This window comes from Homo sapiens, chromosome 4, assembly GCF_000001405.40.
Source record: "Homo sapiens chromosome 4, GRCh38.p14 Primary Assembly".
Classification (NCBI taxonomy): domain Eukaryota; kingdom Metazoa; phylum Chordata; class Mammalia; order Primates; family Hominidae; genus Homo; species Homo sapiens.
The window spans coordinates 59208765-59233220 of NC_000004.12; positions in this window are offsets into that span (position 1 = coordinate 59208765).

Consider the following 24456-nt stretch of genomic DNA (forward strand, 5'->3'; position numbering starts at 1 on the left):
AAGCAAATGGAAAACAAAAAGAGGCAGGGGTTGCAATCCTAGTCTCTGATAAAACAGACTTTAAACCAACAAAGATCAAAAGAGACAAAGAAGGCCATTACATAATAGTAAAGGGATCAATTCAACAAGAAGAGCTAACTATCCTAAATGTATATGCACCCAATACAGGAGCACCCAGTTTCATAAAGCAAGTCCTGAGTGACCTACAAAGAGACTTAGACTCCCACACAATAATAATGGGAGACTTAAACACCCCACTATCAACATTAGACAGATCAACGAGACAGAAAGTTAATAAGGATACCCAGGAATTGAACTTAGCTCTGCACCAAGCGGACCTAATAGACATCTACAGAACTCTCCACCCCAAATCAACAGAATATACATTTTTTCAGCACTGCACCACACCTATTACAAAATTGACCACATAGTTGGAAGTAAAGCTCTTCTCAGCAAATGTAAAAGAACAGAAATTATAACAAACTGTCTCTCAGACCACAGTGCAATCAAACTAGAATTCAGGATTAAGAAACTCAGTCAAAACCACTCAACTACATGGAAACTGAACAACCTGCTCCTGAATGACTACTGGGTACATAATGAAATGAAGGCAGAAATAAAGATGTTCTTTGAAACCAATGAGAACAAAGACACAACATACCAGAATCTCTGGGACACATTTAAAGCAGTGTGTAGAGGGAAATTTATAGCACTAAATGCCCACAAGAGAAAGCAGGAAAGATCTAAAATTGACACCCTAACATCACAATTAAAAGAACTAGAAAAGCAAGAGCAAACACATTCAAAAGCTAGGAGAAGGCAAGAAATAACTAAAATCAGAGCAGAACTGAAGGAAATAGAGACACAAAAAACCCTTCAAAAAATTAATGAATCCAGGAGCTGGTTTTTTGAAAGGATCAACAAAATTGATAGACTGCTAGCAAGACTAATAAAGAAGAAAAGAGAGAAGAATCAAATAGATGCAATAAAAAGTGATAAAGGGGATATCACCACCGATCCCACAGAAATACAAACTACCATCAGAGAATACTACAAACACCTCTATGCAAATAAACTAGAAAATCTATAAGAAATGGATAAATTCCTCGACACATACACCCTTCCAAGACTAAATGAGGAAGAAGTTGAATCTCTGAATAGACCAATAACAGGCTCTGAAATTGTGGCAATAATCAATAGCTTACCAACCAAAAGGAATCCAGGACCAGACGGATTCACAGCCGAATTCTACCAGAGGTACAAGGAGGAGCTGATACCATTCCTTCTGAAATTATTCCAATCAATAGAAAAAGAGGGAATCCTCCGTAACTCATTTTATGAGGCCAGCATCATCCTGAAACCAAAGCTGGGCAGAGACACAACCAAAAAAGAGAATTTTAGACCAATATCCTTGATGAACATTGATGCAAAAATCCTCAATAAAATACTGGCAAACAAAATCCAGCAGCACATCAAAAAGCTTATCCACCATGATCAAGTGGGCTTCATCCCTGGGATGCAAGGCTGGTTCAATATATGCAAATCAATAAATGTAATCCAGCATATAAACAGAACCAAAGACAAAAAACACATGATTATCTCAATAGATGCAGAAAAGGCCTTTGACAAAATTCAAGAACGCTTCATGATAAAAACTCTCAATAAATTAGGTATTGATGGAACGTATCTCAAAATAATAAGAGCTATCTATGACAAACCCACAGCCAATATCATACTGAATGGGCAAAAACTGGAAACATTCCCTTTGAAAACTGGCACAAGACAGAGATGCCCTCTCTCACCACTCCTATTCAACATAGTGTTGGAAGTTCTGGCCAGGGCAATTAGGCAGGAGAAGGAAATAAAGGGTATTCAATTAGGAAAAGAGGAAGTCAAATTGTCCCTGTTTGCAGATCACATGATTGTATATCTAGAAAACCCCATTGTCTCAGCCCAAAATCTCCTTAAGCTGATAAGCAACTTCAGCAAAGTCTCAGGATACAAAATCAATGTACAAAAATCACAAGCATTCTTATACAGCAATAACAGACAAACAGAGAGCCAAATCATGAGTGAACTCCCATTCACAATTGCTTCAAAGAGAATAAAATACCTAGGAATCCAACTTACAAGGGACTTGAAGGACCTCTTCAAGGAGAACTACAAACCACTGCTCAATGAAACAAAAGAGGATACAAAGAAATGGAAGAACATTCCATGCTCATGGGTAGGAAGAATCAATATCGTGAAAATGGCCATACTGCCCAACGTAATTTATAGATTCAATGCCATCCCCATCAAGCTACCAATGACTTTCTTCACAGAATTGGAAAAAACTACTTTAAAGTTCATATGGCACCAAAAAAGAGCCCACATCGCCAAGTCAATCCTAAGCCAAAAGAACAAAGCTGGAGGCATCACACTTCCTGACTTCAAACTATACTACAAGGCTACAGTAACGAAAACAGCATGGTACTGGTACCAAAACAGAGATATAGATCAATGGAACAGAACAGAGTCCTCAGAAATAACACTGCATATCTACAACTATGTGATCTTTGACAAACCTGAGAAAAACAAGCAATGGGGAAAGGATTCCCTATATAATAAATGGTGTTGGGAAAACTGGCTAGCCATATGTAGAAAGCTGAAACTGGATCCCTTCCTTACACCTGATACAAAAATCAATTCAAGATGGATTAAAGACTTAAATGTTAGACCTAAAACCATAAAAACCCTAGAAGAAAACCTAGGCATTACCATTCAGGACATAGGCATGGGCAAGGACTTCATGTCTAAAACACCAAAAGCAATGGCACCAAAAGACAAAATTGACAAATGGGATCTCATTAAACTAAAGAGCTTCTGCACAGCAAAAGAAACTACCATCAGAGTGAACAGGCAACCTACAAAATGGGAGAAAATTTTCGCAACCTACTCATCTGACAAAGGGCTAATATCCAGAATCTACAACGAACTCAAACAAATTTACGAGAAAAAAACAAACAACCCCATCAAAAAGTGGGCAAAGGACATGAACAGACACTTCTCAAAAGAAGACATTTATGCAGCCAAAAAACACATGAAAAAATGCTCACCATCACTGGCCATCAGAGTAATGCAAATCAAAACCACAATGAGATACCATCTCACACCAGTTAGAATGGCAATCATTAAAAAGTCAGGACACAACAGGTGCTGGAGAGGATGTGGAGAAATAGGAACACTTTTACACTGTTGATGGGACTGTAAACTAGTTCATCCATTGTGGAAGTCAGTGTGGCGATTCCTCAGGGATCTAGAACTAGAAATACCATTTGACCCAGTCATCCCATTACTGGGTATATACCCAAAGGACTATAAATCATGCTGCTATAAAGACACATGCACACATATGTTTATTGCGGCACTATTCACAATAGCAAAGACTTGGAACCAACCAAAATGTCCAACAATGATAGACTGGATTAAGAAAATGTGGCACATATACACCCTGGAATGGTGTGCAGCCATAAAAAATGATGAGTTCATGTCCTTTGTAGGGACATGGATGAAATTGGAAGTCATCATTCTCAGTAAACTATCACAAGAACAAAAAACCAAACACCACATATTCTCACTCATAGGTGGGAATTGAACAATGAGAACACATGGACACAGGAAAGGGAACATCACACTCTGGGGAGTGTTGTGGGGTGGGCGGAGGGGGGAGGGATAGCATTAGGAGATATACCTAATGCTAAATGATGAGTTAATGGGTGCAGCACACCAGCATGGCACATGTATACATATGTAACTAACCTGCACATTGTGCACATGTACCCTAAAACTTAAAGTATAATAATAATAAAAGAAAAAAAAAGAAAAGAAGCTTATCCCTAGGGGGAAAAAAAAAAGCTTTACTGTATCAGCACATCTAACTATGCTAGAGACTGGTAATTGGCTTCTCAACAATTCACTGTGTTCTTTTCTAACTTACTACGCAGAAATAGCAAAGGTCCTAATTTGTTCAGTTCCTTTTAGGGGCTGACACTGATGAAACTATCCCATGGAGTTAGCAATAGTAGCAACTTTAACAACTGCAGCCTTCCTTTATGTATCATTGTATTTCTATCCAGCTGGACCCATTTAATCCCCAGAATGCCTCTATTTCTTAAGCTGTTTTCACAAGAATCAATTTTAGTTCACCTATCAGTGATGTGCCACTTCACTGAGATTGGTAAAACTGACTGCCCTGTGAGATATGTCTTTTATGCTTTGTGAGTCCACTGGTGTAAAGCAAACCAGAGAGATGCAACAGAGATCAGCCAGGAACATTAAGACACTTTCCTCTCATGTCCTCAGAGGACACATGCAGATTTGGACAGTGTTAGCCCACTGAGTGGTCTTTTCAAACTCCCTGTTTTACCTCGCCGGGCCTCAAGGATTTCAACTTCTTAGAGAATGCTGCATACAAACCAGCTACAGAGGTGGAGATTTAGGAAAGAATTACAAGTTAACCTTTCACCAACACAATGATTGTCAATAACATTATTATGATTGTCAGATTGATGGCAAGAGACTAATTGGTTCAGCATAAAAAGTGATAGAAAAACTTTGACTTTGCTGTTCTAGATACAAGAGCAGGCTGTAAATATTGTTTAAGAACAGCTGCTCTAGTTAGAACAAAAATTTATACCAATTCCATTGGTACTCTAGGCATAGAAGTTCTGTCTGATTCTGTTTTCTTGCTATATAATAATGAATACCGTAATGAGATTCCAACTAAAGGTTATCTGGTTTCTGCTACTAAAATATCATGGCACTTGCCTTGAATCAATCATCCAAAGTGATTAGGAGTGTGTGAGACTTTGCTGCACTTACAAAAGTAAGTTGTGTGACAATTTTTGCCTGCTTTCTGGTATAGAATTCATTTAGAGACTTGTTTTTATCTTGTAGTTCCACCTGGTAGAGAGATTGTGGGAGAGTAGAATTAGAGCCCTCACATCTAATTTCCAAAGCCTGTGTGTATCTACCAAAATAGCCTAATGCAACTGGCTAAATTGACTTAGTTTAGTTGATAGAAGCTGAGTGTCATGAAAGAAAGATGACTAGCTGACTGTCTCTTAATTGGCTGTCTGGCTGACAGTGTACCTCCCAATATAAAGAATACCTCATTGACTTAACCATTTTCCCAAATTTAACTGGAAGCTCCTAAAAGTAGAAACATTTCTTTCTTTCTTTTTAGCAATCGAAATTGTAAGGAATTCTCAGGGAGAAATCATAACACCCAATTTTACACAGAATGGTTTATGACAGAATTATGATCCTGTATTTTTCAATCAGAAAATCAACTGTCCAGGGCATCAAATATTTAAATAATTGGATCATTATATTCTGTCCTTAGAGGAAATCTTCATGGGAAGACAAATTACAGTCAGAAGTTGAAAATAGAAATGGAGCAACAGGAATAAATGGGCTAAGCCAATCCAGGTTAAGAGTCATACCACAATCCACATATGGACCAAAGCATTAACATCTTCAGTCCAAGTTTGCCTGTGTTTAGAAAATGCATTTTTTCCCATAAGACTATGCAATGAACTACTTGCATAGTATTTCCCTAAACAGGGTCAATATCAATGATCAGATTTTAGATGATAAATTATAATCCCTTTCAAGTACAGAATCTCAGATGACAATTCCATGTAGCCTGATTGGTGCTCCAGGTATTTATAAGTGCCTAAGGAATACACTTTTGTTAAAGGTGTACAATTCCCACTGGTTGCTACAATTGTACAATTGGTTGTACAGTTCCCACTACTTGCTAATAATAATTGTATGAATAAACAAATTTGACCAATTTAAGTCTAAGAAACTATTTTAGTACATTTATTTTTCACATTTTCAGAGGACACACTGTTTTACTGTTCTACACAGCCAATAAAAATGTTTTGTAACACACAAGTAAATGATTAATTTCTATTCTTCAATCCTTGTCTATGATTCAGTTTCCTCATTCTCAGTTTTAAATCTTTTCCTATTCATTTTCTTTTCTTCTTCTTATGGTTTCCCCAGAAGCTGTTTGAAGGTGAAACGTCATAGGAATGCACTAATTGACATGAAGAATTATATAATGCATAGGATACAAAACAGGAAGGAAACACACATTGTCGTTATTCCCTTTCTGTGATTCCTCCTGAAAGAATGAACTATAGTTGAACTATGTCTTACAATTTTCATCTGGAACTTATTTTAAGTAAATTTACCATCTTGCCCATTACTAGATACATATTTTCACAAATCAGTCACACAACAATTTGACCATATCTGAAGCTACAAAATCACTTGAGTGCTCTCATCTTGATTCTCTCAGAATGCAACAGACAGCTCAGAGTTTACCACTGGCTCTCTTTTAGTCTTCGTACTGCCAAGGATGTTTTTAATGTTTTATTAAAGTGTAGGATTCTTCTTATTGTTAAATCTGCATTAGGTTAGAGTCTGAGACCAAATTTCCTGACGGGCCTTCTAAGAGTATGTCACAAATGATAGCAGACACAGTAATATTCAGAGCAATATGGCAGCTGCCGGAGGGAAGCAAATAATAAGCTCTAAAAATGCCAATTTTTAACTTAAAAAGAAATATATAATTCTCACAAGGTAGGAACCTTGCCTCATCATGAAATTTTCAGAAAATGCTGAAGAGTATGGATTCTTATGCCCTTGAAACCAACTCTGAGTAAGTCTGCTTTAGAAACAAAGATAATTTAGAAGGCTCTTTTTTTTTTTTTCCTGGCCTCTCAGCTGTAATAGACAGAAAGTTGCACATTTTGGAGAGGTAGTTTTGCTTTTGAATGAATTACCAATATCAATTCTATAGGGAACTGATCTTTGCAAAGAAATTTTCAAACAACTCATAAAGGTGTCTCATGGTAATCCTTTGCCAGACAGAACCTTAGTAAGTACAGGATGTTTGGAATTTTCATGTCTCACATAAAAGAATACCATAATGCTATTGATGGCTCTGTCAACTGGGGCTCATTAATTCTGATCACACTGTATTTTAAAATCCTTAAGGCCCAAAGTGACTATAAAAAATGTAACCAGCTTCATAGACATATCTCCCATGTTGCACAAAGTATTAAGTATTTTACCAAAGTGTTTCAAATTATATATTTTTCTTATGGCCTATCATTTTAATAAATGTTTCATTTTTTTGTTTTCCAAAATCTATGCAAGACCATTTTTGTAATATATATGTATGTGCATTTTCTTTAGACATTGTTCCTAGATCTAATTAGATTTGCTAATGGGTCTGTGACAGTCAAAAGTTAATAAACACTGCAAGACAATATTCCCTATGTGCTTAAATATTATTGCTATTTCTGCTGTTCAGTTGTGTATTAGGGTTCTCCAGAGAGAACCAATGGGATATATAGCTACAGATAGATATAGATATAGATATAGATATAGATATAGATATAGATATATAGATATAAATATAAATATAGTACACGAGAGGGTATTTTTTAGGTGAATTGGCTCTTGTGATTACAGAGGCTGAGAAGTCCCATGATACGTCATCTGCAAGTTGGAGACCCTGAGATGCTAGCACTATGGCTCAACCTAAGTCTAAAATCCTCAGAACCACAGAGGCCAATGTGTGAAATGTCTGGCTGAGGCTGAAGATCTGAGAACCCAGGTGGGGGCTGGTGTAAGTCCCAGAATCCGAAGCCCATTGACTCTAGAGATTTGAAGTCCAAGGGCAGTAGAAGGAGGTCCCAAATCCAAGAAATAGAAAGAGGAAGAATTATTTTTTCCTCTGCCTTTTTGTTCTACCCAGGCCCCCAGCAGATTGGACTGTACTCGCCCACATTGACTGCAGATCTTCTGCGCTCAGTCCACTGACTCACACTCATCTCCTCTGGAAACACTATCACAGACACACACAGAAATATTGCTTTTCCCACTTTCTAGGAATTCCTTAGTCAGGTCAAATAGACACCTAAAATTAACCATCACAATATCCAATTAGATCTATTTCTCTTTTCTGGGCTTTATTTTTAGATAATAGTATAATGCAATTCCTTAAGAATGTAGTACCTGGGGTTTGATTATCTGGCTTTGAACACTGTTTCATAACTTACCTACTATGCAGTTTTCAAAAGGTTACTCACATATTTAGAACCACAGTTTTTTCACCTCTAAGTTTAGAGTTTGTCTTCTTATGTGGTTATTGTAAGGATTAAATGAATTTACGTATGTAAATCGCTCAGCTCAATGCCCGGCACATAGTATAAGCTCATTTGTTGCAGGAATCTAGAGATGAAATTCCTGTCAATACTGAAATATATGCTAGAAATCTAAAATGGAGAAGAATTAGATTGATCATATTTCTATAATGTCATGTTTCATAGGATCAGACTGCACAAAGTGATCTTTACCACTAAAGTACATTTGCTACTTATCCCCACATCACCACCTTAGACATTGCCAATAGCCAGCCTTGTGCTGTTTCAGAAATAATAAATTCAGCTGCTTCATTCTGAAATCAACTTAACTTCTTTCTAGCCATCTCCCTCATGTATTCCATTGTGACTATTTTTCAGACTCACAGCAAAGCCAGCTTCTTGTATCTTTCTGTACTTGTTTTTGGCTTTTTGACAGCCAATTTTGTTTCTCTTCTGTTGCCCATGTGTGTATAAATCATAAGCTTACACTGGACTTTCTAAATGCTAATATAGAAAAAGATGCATGCATATATATACATATGTATACATATATATGTATATATATATATTTGCAAATGGACCTGCAAAGTTAAGAAAAACTGCAATCAAGGAATATTTCACTTAAATAATTTTTTTTTTAATAGTGGACAATTCAGACAACTTCATTCATTCTTTGTTTCTGTTATTTAAATAAGATGTCATCCTTTAACTTATTTTTTTTTTACTTTTTCTCCAGTTTTATTTTGCAATGATTATTGAGTGAATGGAAATATTAATGCATGTATGAGTGCGTTTTGGGCATGGCATAGTCATTTGGACCTAAAAATTGATCAAGTTTTGCAGAAACCTGGTATTTTTCATGTTAAGTATGTTCAAGAAAATATCCAAGAATATCTTAGTTTTAATAAATAGAATATACTTTGTTGAAGATTTAAATATATATAATATGTTCTACTTTGAAGTATATTTAATGTTGTACTTATAGTCTTGGATTGACTCAATACAATTTTGATATAGGTAAAGTTAAAGCTTTCCCAACATTCTAATTGAATGAAGGGCCAAAAACTCAGTTATTTTGTGAATTTAAGTAAATATGTTATCTGTATCATGATTATTTGCTCTGATAATCTCATAACAATGTGTCATTATGTCATCTGTCAAAACTTTGAAGCATTAAAAGGGGAAGGAATTCCCCAGAAACCTTACAACATTCCAATATAGTATATTGATGTAAAATGGGCTGTGGAATTAATATAATTGACTGAAACATAAGCAAGTTGGATAACCATTCTGTTAATGTATCCACCTGCAAACGTATCTAACTTCCACCTTGTTGAGAAGTATACATAGAAGTACCGTGTTGCGATTTCCTTGGCATTGCTAGGGTGAAGAGGTGCTTGCATTACACTTCAAATACTTTTGTCTCATCTGTCCACTCCTCTCTTTGCCCAAACTCTTTAAAGTCAGTTAGTATTTCGCAATTCTCATTAATGACTAATTATTGAATGCAAACTTTAACTGTATTTCTTCATGTCTGAGATTTATAGAATTGTTGGAATTTTATTTTAATTGTAAAAAGCTATGAATACATGTCTTCCCTAATGATAATAAAGACGTTTTGAACAATTCATGTCTTTGAGTCAATTGTTTTTAATGTGCTCTTAATGTTTAAATGAATAACGACATTATCTAAATATAGCAATATTTAATCAATAGGGTTATGATTTATTAGATTTTATTAGACAATATTTTAATATTAAAAATCCCTTTTTAAAAAGCTTAGTGCAAAAATACAAAGCAAATGTATATGCAAGTCTCACTATGTCACATGTGTCATGTAAATAAAAACTTTTAAAGATCAAACCAATTATACACACTTCAAATGTCTCCTAGCATATTTCTTCATAACCACATCATTCTCCCATGTCTTCCTACCCAGTTATAATAATAAAATGCATTAATTTTCAAATTTCTATTTAAACAACCAAACAAAGCTTTCATGAAGTGCAAAATTTTCCTGTAAAAAAGAAAGGAATATTGTGCAACTGTAAACCTGGCACGTTGTCTTCAGTTTCAGTTTTTGTTTTTTACCATATCCTTTATAAAAAATGAATGTACATATCTTTGGAGTACCTTTCAGGAGCTTCAGTATTCTTTTTTGAAATTTTGGATTTGCTATCCATTTTTCTAGACAAAATGGACGAATAATAGGTTTTCATCAGTTAGATAACAATGGAATAAATCTGCGAGGACACTGACATGTTGATATTGTGCCCAAATTGAGTTCAACTCAAAAATCTTACTGTACTAATTCTGAATGACTCATGACTCTATTTTTCATACTGGTAAAAAGCAAATAAAATAGTATTTTGTCTTCTACTCTAATTGGACATAGAATGGATACTTAATTTTTCAAGTACTTTAAGTTAAAGTAAATAAAAAAACAAAGTTAATAATAGTAGCTTATATTGATTCTGATATAAATATGACGTGTCTTCATGCTAACCAACCATATCTACCTTCTTACAAGATTAATCTCTATATAACTGGTTATTGTTATTGCTCATATTTTTTTAATTCCTAATCAAATTTTAAAAATTGTCTTGTGTAGTATGCATTTGATTATCTTTTTCTGGAATTCAGTACTTTTTTAGTTCTCCAGAAGCCAATTTAATGTTAAGATATTTCCCATGAAATTGGTAATTTTTTTGGAAAATGTATCTGAGATGAGTGAAGAGAAAAGCAGAAAAGCATTTTTATGAAGCAAAATTTTGAAAGAGTTTAAATATACGGTTCAAAGGCAAACCATAGAGTAAAAGGTAGATGGCAACCATAATAGTGCTGCTAATTTAACCAATTTTTCCTACCATTGTCACCAAAACTTAAGCTCATCACATCTATTACTTTTAACCCCTCACTTGTTCTGTCCTGAGAAGCATGGTGACATTGTACTTCCTGAACAAATGAAACTCATGGAAAGCTCTTAGCCTTTGTCTTTCCTTGTTCTCCCTTCCCTACCTGGAACATCCTTCTATTTTTAAACTAATCTGGAAGTTTTTTGGTTTTAAGCAACGTAATGCTAATTTGAACCAGCTAAGAAAAATGGAAGTTCAAAAAAAATTAAACCAAAGAAAGTTGAAGGATTGAACTAGATTTCAGGAATTAACAAATAATCTTGAAAAAAAAAAAGATCTGTTTTTTCTTTCCATTGCATATCTGCTTCTCCTTTTATGTCGTCTTATGTCCTTTCCATTATTTTTGACTGACATTGTCCCTGGATTTTGAAATAAGTCTCTCAGCAGATTTTTGACGAATATTTGTTAGCTTTGCTTTTGACATAGACTCAGTATTATCTGCAATATCAAGTTTAAGATTCCTGTTAAAAAGGTTCACATTTAGTTAGGTTTGCACCGTGGAACTAACCATTTGTGACCCAAGAATGTACTACAGTGTTGGGTCACAACTCCACCAATAGATAAAGCAGTGTGGCCAGGAAAGCACAAAAATAAATAAATAAATAAGCACCAAATAAAAGCATAAAGCACTGGAAGTTCCATGAGCAGTATATTGTTGGAATGAGCCCAATAACTAGAAAGGAGAAAAGATTGCTGAGCACTAAATCCTTTAAGATCCAGCATAGAAATCGCTTTGTTCATCAGACTTTGCAGATGGTGTTTCAAGACTGCACTAATTACTACTTGTTTCATGTTCCTAATAGAATTTTTTTATACTCATTTCATGCTATTACAGAAATTGTCATATAGCATTATATGATCTTACATACTTGTCTCCTCACAACGTGAGCTACTTTAGTTTGTATCATGTTTTATTTATCCAGTAATTACAGTAGATCTTGAATATTTGAGCTGCTCAATATGCGCTTTTGATAAATATATGAACAATTCTATATATTGTTTGGTATAAGTACAATGTATACACCTTCTTTTTCTTTCTTTTTTCTTCCTTCTTTCTTTTCATTATATTATCACATTAAATGCTTTAAGCTGACTCTTTTTCCCTACCAAATGACTACAAATGCTCTCTATTATATTACCCTGCATTATTTTCTTTGAGGCACTACTCACTCCCTTCAGTTGTGTTTATTCACCTACTCATTTAATAACTGTTTCTCCCACTAAAGGAATGAATACTTTACTATATCAAAGATCTTGTTTTATTCATCTCTATATTCTTAATACACAGATCAGTATCAGTTATATAGCAAATGTTTTCTTTATAAATGACTTGATAATATACGGACAACCTATTATAAATCCTAGCCTTTAGAGATTATTGTTTTACACTGGATAAAAAGACTAGCAATTAGGCACACAAAAATTACTATGAGGACTCACATCATTTTTTAGTGGTGTAATGTGAAAAACTTTCTGTCGTAGTTGACATATGAATGAGTCTGGGAAGACGGATTGAATTTGTCTTGGTGGAACTAACAGTAAAAGGAAATCCCAATACAAATATAAACATGAATATAGGGTCAAAGTGTGGCAGGCAAGCACAAGTATTGAAATGGTTTGACAGAGAAATAAGATGCTAGAAAGTAAGCACTGAAAAATGAGATTAGAAATAATTGGAGGCAAGACCTTGACAAATTTAAAATTACAACCAAGGAAACTGGATTTATTTCTTAAATGCTGAAGGAGCATTGGTGATTTCTGACCAGAGAGTTCACCAGTGTTGGTTTTCCTGAAGAACGTATATGCTAACAATACATAGGGTAGGAATTAAGCTTGCTTGCTAGATGAAAGGTAATGAAAACATGGAAGGTAAGGAAAATGTCAACTAGGAGAGCGAAAAAGGGGATAAACAATGAGTATATGTGTGAAAACATTGTTGAGAAAAGATACATGCAATTGGCAAGAAATTAGAGAGTCAAACAAGAAGAAAGACACTAAGGTTTTGAGCTCAGGTGATTCGACAAATGAGGATTAATATGTGCATAAATAAGAAAAAATAAAACAGAAAATTTGAGATGAAAGATGCATCATAATTTGAAACAATCCTAGGATATTTGGAGATATTAAGAAGCAGGGGCTGGAAATTCAGAATAAGAAAAAAGTAGAGGCTAAAAACACAGATATGGCAGTCATGCACCAGATGTGAAAATTAAATTCTGATCTGGTGAGATGATTGAGATAGAATATATATAAAAAGATGAGAAGGCAGCCTAGAACAGATCCATGGAAAATTTCTATTTATCTAATATTCCTTATAGAGTAATAGCAAGATGAATAAATGTTTTTGCAGTAAATAATGTATTACAATTAGAAAATGCTTGTGTTATAGAAATAATTCAATATAACATGGTGGTAGATGTCGGACTTGACTTTTATTCCTTCTTCCAAGGCAATTTGCCTTTCTGAAAAGTTGGCAAAAATTTCCTTATTGCTGTAGATCATTTATTCAGCAGTGAAAAACAGATGGCTCTTTTGTGGCTTCTCTGCACTAGGTTTGGCAATTGTTTGTCTTCCCCGCGATTAAAATAACTTGCTGAGCTTATTGCTAGCCTTCCAAAGGAAGATGCTAAAAATGGATATTAGAATGTAATGCAATCCACACTTCTGGTTTTTCTTAATTTGCTTTGAAAACATTCATTCAATTTGTTCATTTTGCAAACAAGCAACGATTACCTATTGTGTACTTTTCTCATTGATTGTAGTTTATTTGTTTACCAGACTAGACTCTTACCACTTGGAAGAACTATAGAGTTTATGTTGAGGGACTGAGATATTTTCATGGAAAATGAACTCGTTCTTAAAGAACTAGCTGACTTTAGTTTGGGGATAATTTTAAAAATTGTTCTAAGGGGACTACAGCGGAATAATTTTGCATAAGATCATGACACTGCTGTAATATGAAAAAAAAACTCGAAGCTTTAGAGGAAGAAATTTATATTTCCTTCCTTACTCAAAATATCTCTACCAAAAATGTGAAAATGAGTGAACCATTACAGATATCAATATCAAAATGTTTATGGCAGAGCATAGAGATAATACTCAACTTCATTCTTATAAAATTTTTAAAAATTTCGGAACAATTTATGCCTGTTCTTTACCACTTTCCTCCATCATGTTGCCTGACAATGGCAAGCTTTTAATTTCTGATTTTAAGGCTTTTATTTAAAATGTGCATTTTATTGGAATGGGTTACTTTCAGGATAATGCAGTTCATCATTATATTGTATAGAGCATTTTGAACTATATTGTCTTAAAATGCATTCAATTAGTAAAAAATAAAGTAAATAATATGTACAAGATACTAAGTCTACAATGAAAATAGCAATACTTCGCTTAAGCCTCCCCAGTCCCTACTCTCTCACAAGAGGGTAACCATTTTCAAATATTTAGCTGTTATTAGTAGTATTTACCTTATATTCATAAACAGTATGCTATGTTAGTAATTTCATATGACAACATTTTACATTTTATGTCAGATTTCTGTATGGTAGGTAAAATTTGATTATACCAATATTCCTTTAACTTCAGCTCCCTACATATTGCCATTTATGGCTGTATCAGCATTTTGTTCAATCAAAAGCTGTATTTTTATTATAAATTATATATTTAAATTATTTATTTCTGCATCAATAATCATATTTAGTTTTCTTTGTTATAAAACTTACTCGTTTTTCTGAAATTAATGATTGTCTCATGTTTTAACTTGTCTGTTTTTTTAATCTAATTTAATTGTTTCCATATGCTCCATTCGACCTGATATAGATCTATCAATGTCACTTTAAAGACATCTAAACATACTAGATAATAATCAGGGTCATTTTCCCTGCCCCCAGATGCCTCCTTCTTTCTGCTACTCTAAGTGCTGCCTGGCTATTCTAGCCTTCTACATGCTGTCATTGTAATAATTTGCTTATGGAACCCTAGACAATCCATTGCCTCTTTATGGTGTTAAATTTCCTGTTTCCTGGATCATACATTCTATAGCAGCTCTATGTCAAAAGAACAATGGAAAGTAAATATTGAGAATGTTTGCATTAATGTAAATGTCTTCTTTTCTATCCTTCTGCTTGACTAGTATTTGAGTGGGTATATAATTTTAAGCTGGAAATTCTTTCTCATCAGAAATTTTAATCATATTGCTAATGAGAAATCTGAAATTTAAATTTTAAATTAATTAAATTTAAAATTTAATTAAAATTAAATTTTAAATTTAATTAAAATTAAAATTTTAAATCTGATTTTAAATTTAAAATTTCTGTTCTATTTTTTGCAACATAACTTTTCATTCTGGTATTTTCTTTATTTCTCATGTTCTAAGACTTCATGTTCAGCTGCCTTAGATTACGTTTTGTGCATCATTTCATGCATTGTGTTGGGTACACAGTAGGGTATGCCTTTCCATATGGAGACATTTTTAACAATAAAGATGTTTTTAAGTACTAAAATTAATATTTATATATTAACATTATTTTTTAAAATATTATTTTAAAACAATTCATGTGTTAACTTATGCATTATTTGTTCTTTGTTGAAATTTTTTGTCGTGTATTGGAACTTCTGAATTTATTCTTTAATTTTTTTAGCTCTTTCTTTTGATTTTTGTTTTATATTCTGTTATTTCTTTATATGTGCTTATATATATCATCTTATGTAATTGTTGAATAATATTTTATGCAACTAAAGTTTTAGTTCCCAAGATCTTATTTGGATTAGTTGGGTTGAGTCTCTTTTCCCCTGCCACCAAATCCCACCCCAACTTTTTGATGACTGTGTTTCATGTTGTAGACTTTCTTTTCATGTCTGGTGTTTGTTGGTTGTTCATTCATCATTAAGAGTAATTATGACTAATTATGGTCTGACAGCTCTGCTTGTCTGAATAGGGAAAATTGACATGTGGACTATACTATAAGAAGATGGTCACTCAATCCCTTCACTGTGTTTTTTGAACATTTTATTGAGACTCCTAAATTCTTTCAGCAAAGAATCCTCCAATGCCCTGCCTAACAGAAATAGGTTTGGCAATGGACATTTCGAAGCAAGGCAAGGGAATGGAACTGAAATTGGTCTTACTCTTGAGTGTAGACTTTCACCCTGCCCTCTGTTTTTTAGTATGGCTCTTCTCTGTCTCCCTCTTCTAAGTAGATACTACTTATTTGGAGACTCTCTGAAACCTACCTGCAGATGGGCTGAAGAGCTGAGGTCAGTCACCTGGGTGAGAAGCATAGGAGATAGAAATTGCAGATTCCCACTGTTCTGTGTATACAGCAAGTTCTCAAGTCAGTGCCTTTATAATTTATGATATCCACATGGTTTGTTCACTCACCCCTTTCAACTACTTGTTCAAATGTCACTTTCTCAATGAGAACTTCATTTAAACATCATATCGAAAATTGACTCTGCCTCAGGCATGACCTTCCCTATGTATAATGTCCAACTAATTTTTCTACAGAATTAGTTGTAATTTCTTGTTAAATTGTTTATTGCCTCTGCCTTTTCTTTAGGAAATAATCTTCGGGCCGGGCGCGGTGGCTCACTCCTGTAATCCCAGCACTTTGGGAAGCCGAGGCGGGCAGATCACGAGGTCAGGAGATGCAGACCATCTTGGCTAACACGGTGAAACCCCATCTCTACTAAAAATACAAAAAAGTTAGCGGGGCGTGGTGGCGGGCGCCTGTAGTCCCAGTTACTCAGGAGGCTGAGGCAGGAGAACTGCGTGAACCCGGGAGGCGTAGCTTGCGGTGAGCCTAGATCGCGTCACTGCACCGCAGCTTGGGTGACAAAGTGAGACTCCGTCTCAAAAAAAAAAAAAAAAAAAAAAGAAAAAAGAAATAATCTTCGTGAGCATAAGGATTGTTATAGCCCCGGTGAACAGGGTTTCAAATATAGAAAGCAATTCACAAATAACTGTTGGATAAAAATGTTTGCTTTCTAAAAATAATCGTTGGAGAGTTCTACATAATCACATTGTTTGTAATGTAATAGAAATATAATTGTAATCGACTACAAAACTATACAAATTCATCAATTCAGATAGTCAAAAATATTTATTTACTGTCTGATATGTACCAGGTACTAAGTAATATGGTAGATTCACAGTAATGAATAAAATATACGTTTAAAAATGTTGTCTTCATGATTTTTGAATAATTAGCAAATAAAATATATCAAAATATGCTACATAATTTAGAGAAAAATAACAAAATGGTAAAAGTCATCAAGAAAAAGCAAAACAAGGGTACTTTGTACTTGCGTTTAGGGAAGTTCACCCTGAAAAAGAAATATCTTCACTGTGTCTTTAATGATGTTAAAAAAAATGACATTCCAGGTAGAAGAAATAGAATGTGCATAGTGTTTTTTAGGATGTGGAAAAAGGTCATTGTAGCTGAAACTAAGAGAGCAATAAGGATAGTGTCAAAATTTGAGGATGCAGGGATGGGCAGGCACGGCATATCCTTGAGATTCTGAAGGCTATGGCGAAAAAATGCGGGCTTTAGTCCACATATAAAGTGAAGCTGTCTTCCCAGTTCAGTAAATAGAAAGTCTATTCTTTTCAGTTGCAAGGACTTTTGTGTTTTATTCACTTGTGCATCCCCAGTGACAACAGGAATATATATGATGTCCAATAAATGTCTATAGATTAAATACATGAATTTTTTTGTATAGCAAATTGTATTCAAATCTATTCATGTATATCATTCTTTGAATTGGCATTATGTTCTTTCTCTTTACTCAATGCATTCTGACAACTATCCAGTTACTGCTATTTGTTTTAACTAGTATATTCTTTTGGAGGTGAGGTGGGTACTGAATATAGCACTTTGGTTAAAATAATTAAATTCACAGGCTGCTACATATAGATTTGAATACTAACTTTATCATGTAACTTTGGACAATTTGCTTAACATCTCTGGCCTTGATTTCTTTTACTATAAAATAGAAAATTACCTTTATCATAGAATTTTAATAATAAATTAATAAAAAAGTGAACGTTACTAACACCAAGAAAATATTCGGTAAACGGTATGCTTTTTAATTTTTATTGACATTAACATCATTATTATTTTTGTAATATAATTGCCTTATGATGATCAACATTAAATTAAAACAGTATTTTTTCCAAATAATTTTCTAAATGTTAGCCATAAAATTCATTTATCTTATTAAAAATATTTTAGAATTCTCACTAATATCTTAAATCAAGTTTACATGGAGGATATTGCAAAAATTATAAAGAATGCATCTGGAAGCATTTAGGAATGCTCTTAAAAACCAGAGGTTATGACTGAAAAAAAGAACAAAAAACTAATGTAAGGCATAAAACTATTTTGATATTTGTATTGGTTTGGCTAAATAATTATAGGCAAACAATATAAATACACATTTTTGTTGTTATTTTCTTTTTCTTTTTGCTCTGCAGGGACATTTTCTCAAAATAACTTGATCTAAATTAATGTGGGAATTACATCATAGCTCATCTATATCTATTTGCCAAATTCATCCCCTTCCTTTAGTTGTCTTTTACTTCACATTACTATCAAACTTTTGTCTAAGCACAATTCAAAGGGAGAAATTTAGAAGTTTGTTCTGTTTGATTTCAGCCTTAACTAGCAATTGTGAATTTCATTGGCACAGGCATTTTATTTGACTGTAAGCTGATTGAGCTTACTTGATTATTTATAAAATCTCAAGAACCTATCTAATCTAAAAATCACCTATTGCATTGATAAACAGTTTTCACAGAGGCCATTTTGATTAAATATAACTTGTTTGTAGGGAATAATGTATTCACTATTTCTTACACTGGCAGAAAATTCTTGCTAGGAGTTAAAGATACCTGTGTTGTCAACACACTCAAAAACATCAGATCACAGAAATGTGAACGAGAAGATTTAAAAACTTTCAAAAGAGATAGATCTGAGTTTAAAAACTGGGGCAATTACATTTCAAAGAAACACATAGATCAAGTGTTAAAATTGCAAACTCTATTTGGTAGATACGAACTATCAAATTTTTCTTGACCTTCGATTAAGACTGAAAAGTTTATAAATATAAGCGTTTTTTGAACTAGCTAAGGGAAGTTAAGTTACCCTTGCTTCATTTCAGTTTAATTATTTATGTTATGCTTTTTCCACCCACAGAGCTAATTGTGGGTTGTGATTTTTGGGTGTAGCTCTTTTCTATTATATTGTACTATTTAAAAGGGTTGCAATATCAGTATTTGTGGTTTGTAATAGCATTATTTCAGAAACAACTGAGATTCCTTCAATCTCCTTTGCTTTTTTGCCAATTCTTACTCCTCACTTCTCCTCTTCCCCTTCTCATGGATTCTCATCTCAGACTTCTCATTAGCACATCACCACTAATCCTTGGCAATTTTTCTTACCCTTTTACCCGCTTCCTCCACTGAAGAGTAGAATTTTTAATTTGTATTTTTTGTTACTTTGGAAAGCAAATATTTTATCAAGATCTCTTGGTCAGAGGGCAGAAACACTCCTGAAGACTATCCTAAAACCTCTTCACAGAAGAGATAAATTTAGCAAGTAAACACATCAGCCAAATGGGTCTGGTTGCTCTAAAGACCACAGGGCAAAGCGGCTTGAAACCAAGAGAAACATCAAAGTCATTAATGGCAAGTAATACTTATATCAGAATTTTAAGATATATTAAATGTGTATCTTAAATTTTATTTAAAATAATATATTGAACGCTAATGTCATTGTTTTTACTATTGAATTTGGGCTTTTAAAATAAAACATTGGCATTTATAACAAGTTTTTTTGGGGACAAGGTCTCACTTTGTCACCCAGGCTGGAGTATAGTGGTGCTATCTTGGCTCACTGCAGCCTTGACCTCCTGGGTTCAAGCACTCCTTCTACCTCAGCCCCAAAAGTAACTGGGACTACAGGTGCACCCACCATGCCCAGATAATTTTTATATTTTTAGTAGAGATGGCATTTTGCCATGTTGCCCAGACTGGTCTGGAATTCCTGAGCTGAAACAATCTGCCAGGTTTGGGTTCCCAAAGTGCACCATGCCTGGCCCTATAACAACTTTTAAAATCCTTACATGTAATATACACCAATGCATCAGAATTGTCATTTGCTTATACGAATATAGTCTTCTGATTAGACATATGTATGTGTTTTACTGGTTAACAAATTATGAAGTCCTGAATAGATGTGATATTTACTTTCTGGTCAGTAACCTGATTTCAGATATCTCCCGTGAATGCAAATTTATAGATTAATTCAGGCTAAAGTGTTAAAAAATGTTTCTTTTAGAAGTCTCGCTCTTGTCCCCCAGGCTGGATTTCAATGTCGCGATCTCGGCTCAGTGCAACTTCCGCCTCCCGAGTTCAAGTGATTCTCCTGCCTCAGCCTCCGGAGTAGCTGGGATTACAAGTGCCCGCCACCACGCCCGGCTAATTTTTGTATTTTTAGTAGAGACGGGGTTTCACTATGTTGGCCAGGCTGGTCTCGAACTTCTGACCTCAGGTGATTCATCTGCCTTGGCTTCCCAAAGTGCTGGAATTACATGTGTGAGCCACCATGCCTGGTCAATATTTGAACTTTCATTAAGGTTATTTCTAAATGTCAGGGAAAATTGTCTGTACTAGTGTGACATTTATAAATTATATTATGTATGAGTGATCAAGAATTTTTAATAAATGAAAACAACCCATTTAAGGTTGTTTCTATTAAGTTTTATTTTAGAGAGACAGATGCTATTATGCTTATACTTAAAGTTTATCTTCTGTTTTAATTACTAAGAGATATAACATTTTATCAAACATTATTGCAACTCAAAGTTATTATAATTAATGTAATTTTATTAAACACATCTTTATTCTTTTTGTAGTGACTTTCTCATAGCATACCCGTAAAGTAAGAAAGCACAAGATCTTGTGATTCACTGAATGCTAGTCAAACCAAAGATCCTCATCCTAAAAGGATAGTTTCCAAATTTGGAGCACGCATTCTTTCTTTTAGCTTTCAAGTAGCTAAAATACTACCTTTCCCACTCCTTCCAATCCACCGTCCCAACAGATTATATTCCTAAATTTAAGTAAAGCTGTTTCCCATTAAAGGGGCTAATGGTCTTGAACTCTTAGCTTCAAGCAATCCTCCAACTTAGGCCCTCCAAAGCACTGGGATTACAGGCATGAGCCACCACACCTACTAGCTAGACTAAGCAAGAAAAGAAGAGGGAAGATCCAAATAAACACAATCAGAAATGAAAAAGAATACATTACAATTTCTACCACAGAAATACAAAAGATCTTCAGAGACTATTATGAACAATACATGTTCACAAACTGGAAATACTAGAGGAAATAAATAAAATCCTAGAAACACAACTTCCTCAGAATTAACCAGGAAGAAACAGAACTCCTGAACAGATCAATAATGAGTAGTGAGACTGAATCAGCAATTTAAAAATCTTCCAAAAAATTAAATTCAGTACCAGACAAATTCACAGTCAAATTCTATCAAACATACAAAGAATAACTAATACCATTCTCTCTTAAACTTTTCCTAAAAACTAAGGAGGAGGGTATTCTTCTTAATTCATTCTATGAGGCCAGCATCACCCTGATACTAAAAGCAGACAAGGAAACAACAGAACAAGAAAACTACAGACCAATATCCCTGATGAACATAGGTGTAAAAATCCTCAACATAATACTAGCAAATTGAATCCAACAACACGTCAAGAAGATAACACATTATGATCAGGTAGGATTTATCTCAGAGATGCAATGATGGTTCAATATACAGAAATCAATAAATGTGATATATCACATGAAGATAATTAAAAACAAAATGTACGTGATTATCTTGATAGATACAGAATAAGCATTCAATAAAATTTATCATCCTTCAGAATGAAAATCCTCAAAAAACTAGCATAGAAGGAACATATCTCAACATAATAAAGGCCACGTATGAAAAATCAATGGCCAATACCACAGTGAGTGTGGGTAAGTTGTAAGCATTTCATTTAAGAACTGGAACAAGACAAAGATGCTCACTTTCCTCACTCTTATTTAACGTAGTACTAGAAATCCTTGTTGGAGCAATCAGACAAGAGAAAAAATAGTCATTCAAATTGCTAAACAGGAAGTCAAATTATTCTTCCTTGCTGATAGTATAATCTTACCTCTAGAAAAACCCCATAAATTTCACTAAAAATCATTTGATTTGACCAGTGAATTGAATAAAGTACCTGGATACAAAATAAATGTACATAAATTGGTAATATTTTTATACACCAATGACCAAAGAACTAAGGACCAAATCAAGAAAGCAATCCCATTTATAGTAGCCACACACACATAAAATATCTAGGAATATATTTTGTCAAGGGAGTGAAATACCTCCACAAGGAGAATAACAAAACACTACTGAGAGAAATCATATGTGACACAAACAAAAAAAATCCCACGCTAATAGATTGGAAGAATCAATATTAAAATGACCATACTGCCCAAAGCAATTGAACAAAATTACAGACAGTTTTCTTCTTTTTTTAACTTTTATTGTAAGTTCAGAGGTTCATGTTTGTTATACAGGTAACAGGCTTGTTATATAGGAAAACTTTGTGCAGGTTTGTTATATAGGTAAACTTGTGTGATGAGATTTTGTTGTACAGATTATTTCATGACCCAGGTACTGAGTCTAGTACCCAATAGTTATTTTTCCTTATCCTTGCCATCCTCCCACCGTCCACCCTCAGGTAGGCCCCAGTATCTGTTACTCCACTCTTTGGGTCCATGTGTTCTCATCATTTAGCTCTCACCTATCAGTAAGAACACGTGGTATTTGATTTTCTGTTTCTTAGTTTGCTAAGGATGATAGCCTCCAGTTCCATCCATGTTTCTGCAAAGGACATAATCTTGTTCTTTTTTATAGCTGCATAGTATTCCATGGTGTATACGTACCACATCTTATTTATCCAGTATACTATTTATTGATGGGCACTTAGGTTGATTCCATATCTTTGCTATTGTGAATAGTGCTGCAACAAATATATGCAGGCATGTGTCTCTAAGATAGAAAGATTTATATACTTGTGGGTATATACTCAGTAACAGGAAGGCTGGGTCAAATGTTAATTCAGTTTTTAAGCCTTTGAGGAATCACCACACTGTTTTCCACAATAGTTCAACTAATTTACATGTCCACCAACAGTGTATAAGCATTTTTTTCTCTGCAACCTCACCAGCACCTGTTTTTTTTTTTGACATTTTATTAATAGTCATTCTGACTGGTGTGAGATCGTATCTCATTGTGGTTTCAATTTGCATTTCTCTAATGATCAATGATGTTGAGCTTTTTTATATATAATTGGTCTAATGTCTGTTTTCTTTGAAGAAGTGTCTGTTCATGTACTTTGACCACTTTTTGGTAGGGTTTTTTATTTTTTCTTGTGAATTTGTTTAACTTCCTTATAGATGCTGGTTATTAGACCTTTGTCGGGTGCATAGTTTGCAAAAAAAATTCTTCCATTATGTGGGAAGTCTGATTATTCTGTTGATGGTTTATTTTGCTTTATAGAAGCTCTTTAGTTTAATTAGATCCCATTTGTCAATTTTTTCTTTGGTTGAAATTTCTTTTGGCATCTTGGTTATGAAATCTTTGTCTGATCCTATGTCCAGAATGGAATTTCCTTGATTGCCTTCCAGGGTTTTCATAGCTTTGGATTTTACATTTATTTCTCTTGCATTGATTTTTGTACATGGTGTAAGGAAGGGGTCCAGTTTCAATCTTCAGCACATGGCTAACCAATTATCTCAGCACTATTTATGGAGTAGGGAATCCTTTCGCTATTGCTTGTTCTTGTCGACCTTGTCTAAGATCAGATAGTTGTAGGTGTGTGGCCTTATTTATGGGATCTCTATTCTGTTCCATTGGTCTATATGGCTGTTTTTCTACCAGTACTATGCTGCTTTAGTTACTGTAGACAAGTAGTATAATCCGAAGTTGGATAGCATGATGCCTCCAACTTTGTTCTTTTTGCTTAAAATTGCTGTGGCTATTTGGGCTCTTGTTTGGCTCCACATACATTCTAAAAGATTTTTTTTTCTCGAAGAATGTCATAGGTAGTTTAATAGGAATTGCATTGAATATATAAATTGCTTTGGGCAATATGGCCATTTTAATGATATTGATTCTTCGTATCCATAAGCATAGGATTTTTTTTCCATGTGTTTGAATTATTTCTGATTTCTTTGAGCAGTATTTTGTAGTTCTTCTTGTAGAGATCTTTCACCT